The following is a 7,162-nucleotide window of genomic DNA, read 5'->3' on the forward strand; positions in this document are numbered from 1 at the left end:
GGAAGACCATGGCTGAGGTATCAAGTAATCCAAACTGCCAATTCCACCTGTATTGTTCCTTGCTCACTTCCTTCATGTTCATTTAATTCACTAACTTCATTTCTCCAATCTGTTATCTAATACTTTGTCCACCTGTTTTACTTCACTTTTGCACCCTGCCTTAAATTGCCCAATACTCACCAATGAGAGACATAAGTGAGTCCCTTTCACTTCAGTCTAAGTTATGAGCTTTGATTCTGGAGTGAGGGCCTGTCTTGACTTAGAAATGACCTAAAGACTTCCAGGGTGTGATGAATCTGCTAAGCCTCCAACCTGTCTTTTACTCTGAATGCTATTGCTTTAGCTCAGAATACACAATGTGAAGCTTAAAATTCTTCAATAATTAAGGACATAATTTCAAGAAAATAAAGACAATAAACCACTAGATGAAGGGAAAGCCCAATTCCTGTTGCAATGCTTAGTAGTGGTCATGCTAACTGGAGTAAGACGATATCAAATTGTGGTTTTGATTTGCCATTTTTTTATGATTCCTGATGTTGAGCATCTTCCATATACCTGTTGGACATTTGTATATATTCTTTTCAGAAATACGTATTTAGATCACTTGCAGACTCTTTAATGGGATTGTTTGAAATTTTTCTGGTGAGTTGTTTGAGTTTTTTGTATATTCTGGATATTAGTTTTTTGGTGATGAATATTTTGCAAACATTTTCTCCCATTCAACAGGTCGTCTCTTTACTATGTTGGTTATTTCTTTTCTAGTGTAGTAACTTTTTAGTTTAATATAGTTTTAATTGCCTATTTTTGTTTGTTTGTATGTGTTCTAGGGCATCTTAGCTATAAAATGTTTGCTTAGACCAATGTCCTGGAGTGTTCTCCCTATATTTTCTTCTAGTAGTTTTAATGTTAACAGGTGATATATCTCAGTCTTTAAGCCAGTTTGATATGGTTTTTGTATAGGTGAAATGTAGGAGCCTAGTTTCATTCTTATGCATATGGGTATCCAGTTTTCCAAGTAACATTTATTTTTATTTTTGAGATGGAGTCTTGCTCTATCGCCCAGGCTGGAGTGCAGTGGCACAATCTCGGCTCACTGAAACCTCTGCCTTAGCCTCCCGAGTAGCTAGGATTACAGGCACCTGCCACCAAGCCCGGCTTAATTTTTGTACTTTTAGTAGAGCTGGGTTTTCAACATGTTGGCCAGGCAGGTCTTGAACTCATGACCTCAAGTGATTTGCCTGCTTCAGCATCCCGAGCTGCTGGTATTCATGTAACATTTATTGAGGAGAGTATCCTTTTCCCAGTGTATGTCCTTGGTGCCTTAGTTGTAAATTAGTTGGCTTTTAAACCTCTGGTTTATTTCCCGGTTTTCTATTTTGTTCCATTAGTTTGTGTCTGTTTTTATACCAATACTATGCTATTTTGGTTCCTATAGCGTTGCAATATATTTTGAAGTCAGATAGTGTGATGCCTCTAGCTTTGTTCCTTTCGCTCAGGATTGACTTGGCTATTTATGCTCTTCTTTTTCATTTTAGGATTGTTTTGTTTGTTCCAATTCTGTGAAGAATGGCATTGGTATTTTGATAGGAATTGCATTGAATCTATAGATTTCTTTGAGAAGTATGACTATTTTTACTACATTAATTATTCTGATATATGAGCATGGTATGTCTTTTCGCTTTTTGTGTCATCTCCAGTTTCTTTCATTAGTGATTTATAGTTTTCCTTGTAAAGGTATTTTACCTCCTTGGTAAAATCTTTTTCTTGGTATTTTATTTAGTGGTAGCTATTGCAAATGGTACTACCTTTTTGTTTTTTTGTTTTTTTTCAGCTAGTTTGTCATTGGTGTATAGAAATGGCACTGATTTTCGCACGTTGATTTTGTATCCTGTGACTTTACTAAATTTGTTTTTCAGTTGTAAAAGTTTTCTAGTGGAGTCTAGACTTTCCTAGATATAAGATCAGGTCATCTGCAAAGAAGGACACCTTGATTTCCTATTTTCCAATTTGGATGCTTTTTATTTATTTCTCTTGCTTGATTGTTCTGACTTCCATTACTATGTTGAGTAGTAATGGCATTCTTGTCTTGTTCTAGTTCTTAGACGAAAGGCCTTAAGCTTTTTCCAATTCAGTATAATGTTAGCTGTAGGTTTATCATATATGGCCTTTATTATATTGAGATTTTTTTTCTATGCTGAGATACTTGAGCATTTTTATCATAAAAGAATGTTGAATGTTATGAAATGATTTTTCTGCATCTATTGAGATGATAGTTTTTTGTCTTTCATTTTATTGATGACTGTCTTTCATTCTATTATGTCTATTAATTTGTGTATGTTGAACTAATCTTTCATCCCTGGGATAAATCCTACTTTATCACGATAAATGATTTCTTGATATACTGCTGTATATGGTTTCCTACTATTTTGTTGAGAACTTTTCTGTCTGTCCTCATTATAAATGTTGGCCTGCGGTTTTCCTTTTTTGTTGAGTTCTTGTCTGATTTTGGTATCAGGGAAATGCTAGCATCATAGAATGATTTGGAAGAATTCTGTCTTCTTCTACTTATTGGAATAGTTTGAGAATTCGTATAAATTCTTCTGTTAAAGTTTGGTAGGATTAGGCAGTGAGGCCATCAAGTCCTGGGCTTCTCTTTGTTGGGAGACATTTTACTGCTGTTCAAACTTGTTACTTATTTTGGTATGTTCAGCTCTCTATTTCTTTCAGATTCCTTCTTGGTAGATTGAATGTGACCAGGAACTTATCCATTTCCTCTGGGACTTCCAGTTTTTTAGTATATACTTGTTCAAAATAGTCTCTAATGAGCTTTTGTATTTCTGTGATACCCATTGTAATGTCTCCTTTTTCATTTCTAATTTTATTTGGATCTTTTATCTTTTTTTCTTCATCAGACTAGCTAGTGGTTTATTGATTTTGTTTATCTTTAAAAAAACCCTTTTTATTTTCTTGATCGTTTGTATTAATTTTTTAGTCTCTACTTTATTTTGTACTGCCCTGAACTTTGTTGTTTCCTACTACTAATTTTGAGTTTGTGCTTTTGTAGTTCCTTGAGATGCACTTAGATTGTTTCTTTGAAATCTTTCTACTTTTATGACGTAGACATTTATTGCTGTGAACTCTCATATTGGCATTGCCTTTGCTGTGTCCAGTAAGTTTTAATATTTTGTATTTTGTGTTTCCATTTTCAGTTTCAAGGAATATTTCCTTCTTAATTTCTTCCTTAACCCAATAGTCATTCAGAAGCATGTTGTTTGATTTTTATGTATTTGATAAGTTTCCAAAGTTCCTCTTGGTATTGAACTCTCTAACATATGGCATATTCTGGAAAATGTCCCATGTGCTAAGGAGAAGAATGTGTGTTCTGAGGTCTTGAAAAGAAAGTTCTGTAAATATCTCCTAGGTCTATTTGGTCTAACGTGCAGTTTAAATCCAGTGTTTCTTTCTTAATTTTCTGTCTAGATGGTTTGTCTAATGCTGAGAGTGAAGTGCTGAAGTATTCAAGTATTATTATATTGGAGTCTCCCTTGAGGTCTAATAATATCTGCCTTATATATCTAGGTGCTTCAGTATTAGGTGCATATACATTTGGAATTGTTATATCTTCTTGCTAAGTTGATCTCTTTATCATTATATCATGACATTCTTTATCTTTATTTACTGTTTTGACTTAAAGTCTGTCTTACATGTATAGCTACTCCTGTTTATTCTTGTTTTCTGTTGCATGAAATGTCTTTTTCCACCCCTTTACTTTCAGTCTATGTGTTTCTTTACAAGTGAGACAGGTTTCTTATAGGAATCATATAGTTGGGTCATTTTTTTTAAATCCATTCAGCAAGTCTATAACTTTTAAGGGGAAATTTTAATCCATTTACATTCAAGGTTGTTGTTGATATGTAATGGCTTATTACTGTCATTTTATTAATTGATTTCAGGTTGTTTTGTATAGCCTTTGTTTTTTCTCTCTCTTATTGTTTGTTATTGTTGTTTGGTGGTTTCCTTTAGTGGGGACATTTGAGTTGTTTCTCTTCCTTACTTGTATGTTTTCTCCATCAGTCGATTTTATACATTTGTGTGTTGCCATGGTATTAGATAGCATCTTTTTCCTTCTAGGTTACAACTCATCTAAGCATTTCTTGTGCTATTAGTCTAGTATGAATTAACTCAGGTTTTACATGTCTGGGAAATAATTTATCTTCCCTCCATTCATAAAGAATAACTTTGTTGGGCATAGTATTCTTAACTAGTTGTTCTAAAATGTTAGTACTTGAAATATATTATTTTATTCTTACCTGGCCTGTAGCTTTTCTGCTGAGAAATCTGCCATTCATCTGATGGGAGTTTCTTTATCAGTGATTAGACACTTTTTCTTGCTGCTTTTAGAATTATCTGTCATTGATTTTTGACAGTTTGATTATAAAATGCCGTGAAGTAGACATTCTTGAATTTTATCTATTTGGAGATATCTGCCCTTTCTGTATCTGGATGTCTAAATCTCATGTTAGACTTGTGAAGTTTTCTGCTATTATTTTGTAATACAAGTTTTCTATCCCTTTAATTGTTTCTTTGCCTCTGAGACACCATAAATATTTGTTCACTTTATAATATCTCATATTTAATGTAGGCTTTGTTATTTTTTTCTTTATTTTTTTCTGACTAAGCAATATCAAAAGACCAGTTCTGAAGGTCTGAGATTATTTCTTATGCTTGATCTAGTATGCTGTGGAAGTTTTCAAGTGTATTTTTAATTTCTTCCAATGAATTCTTTAGTTTCAAATTTTCTTTTTTAGTTTTTCATGACATCTCTTTGACAAATTTCCCATTCATATCCTGAATTCCTTTTCTGATTTATTTGAAATGTTTATCTTTTATTCTGTATCTTACTGAGTTTTTAAATATCATTATTTTGAATTCTTTTATGCATTCCACACACTATATTTATTTTTTCTGAATCTCTCTGATTTATTAGAGGTTTTCTTTTCCTTTCTTTTTAACACTAACAACCTCAGAGTCCTAATTTCCAGTGTCTTATTGTAAGGCTTATGGGCTATTATAAGCATTATTATGATGTGTCCAGTAAATTTAATTTTAACATTGCTATTTACTGAAGTAAAATTATGTTTTTCAAAGTTAGCCTTTCTTATAATACCAATCTTATACATAAAACAAAAGTTTAAATATTTGAAATTTGTAAATTAAAATACTCTATGTTAGTTAGATAAAAAAATCTTTTTATAACGATTACCTGAATTTAAAATTAAAATTGCAAAAATTCAACAGCCAGGGAACTACATTTGCTTTAGCAAATACTTCCCATAAAGTTTCCAGGTAACACTTATAAAAATCTTTAAATCCCTCTACAAATATTTCAAAACGTCATCTACTTTCTTGTAAACGGTTATAATTTTTAGTTTTTAATGTCTATAAATATTACTTCTATTTTAAGAAAAAAGGTTTGGAGATTTTTTTTTCATATTACATCGGTAATGAAGTATTTTTAAATAATAAAATATTTACTTTGAATTTTTTTCAACAATGCCTTTTTCAATAATGAAGACAGAAACATTATTTGGTGGTACTGGAAAGAATGAATATGATTATCGGGATAGTTCCAAGAACATATTATTTCTAGTTCCTTAAAAAGTGAGCATCACCAGGCCGGGTGTGTTGGCTCACACCTGTAATCCCAGCACTTTGGGAGGCTGACACAGGTGGATACCCAAGGTCAGGAGTTCAAGACCAGCCTGGCCAACATGGCAAAACGCTGTCTCTACTAAAAATACAAAAAAATTAGCCAGGTGTGGTGGCTGGCGCCTGTAATCCCAGTTACTTGGAAGGCCAAGGCAAGAGAATTGCCTGAACCCAGGAGGCGGAGGTTGCAGTGACCCAAGATCACGCCATTGCACTGCAGCCTGGGCAACAGACTGAGATTCTGTTAAAAACAAAAACAAAAACAAAAAAACCCCAAGCATCACCAGAAAGAAGACAATGTATATCTATGTATATGTATATCATAAGTGCTTCCTTGATTCCAATTAGAAAAGTCAATTATTTTGCAAGGTGAGCTCCTATAAATGGGCTATCATTGTATTTGCTTCAGAGGGAGTGGTTGGAACAGAGCCATTAAAAGAAGGCATGACACATTGGATCTGACACTGTAGGGAATGAATCTCCTTTATTCTAAGGCCTGTAAAGCCATACTCGCATTCTTTGTCTTTGAATTGTTTGTGTCTGTGCAGGATCTTTTGCTTTTAGGATTAACAGGAAAAATACGAATTTGTTTTGTGAAGTAACAGGCCTTTTGTACAACAATTATGCAGAATTTAGACCTTGGGCCACCTGAGAAGAAAGGCATGTATCCTAAATGAGTTACCTAATTCTTTCTGTTAACATCCCCCTAAAAATGAGCAGATTTGAGCTCTGATTTATGGATCTCATAAATAACATTCTTATCTTCAAAAGAGACATCTTGAACATCCCATTAGCCACAAATGGAATTTATTCTCCTGTTGTTTCCTATGTATCTCAGTGTCATAAAAGAAGAGAGGTCTTATTGGCACTCTGTGTAACTTTGGGACACTCGACGGGAAAATAATAAAACCTATAGTGATGGGCAAGTTCTATGACATACTCTTAAGAAGAAAAACCTAGTTATTATTCATAACTGTGTATGAAGTCATAGGTCTAACACCATCAATTCATGAAACATTTCTACTACCACTATCCCACATGGGATCCTATCTGGCTCCCTACATATATATTATTAATAAAAATATCTTTTGTCTTCTAAAAGTAAAAAAACCCATATTTAATATGTGATTATTTTCTTACCATAAGTATATAAAAGATAATAAAAGTACCAAAGTGAGTTATTGTTCAACAAATATAGAATTTCACATTTCTGAGATGAAAAATTTCTAAAGATCTGTTGGAAAACAATGTGCATATAGTTAACACAAGTAGGTATCAATACAGCTCATCCATGTTCTTATAGTTTTACTCTAGAAGTGTGTAACCCTAGGTATTATACTAAATGAAATATATATTTATGCTATTTTTTTAAAAGTTAACACAGTAACATAACATCTTTCAATAAATGATAAAAATAAAGACAATTAAAATTCCCAATTATACAGTATGGGGA

This window comes from Homo sapiens, chromosome 10, assembly GCF_000001405.40.
Source record: "Homo sapiens chromosome 10, GRCh38.p14 Primary Assembly".
NCBI lineage: Eukaryota > Metazoa > Chordata > Mammalia > Primates > Hominidae > Homo > Homo sapiens.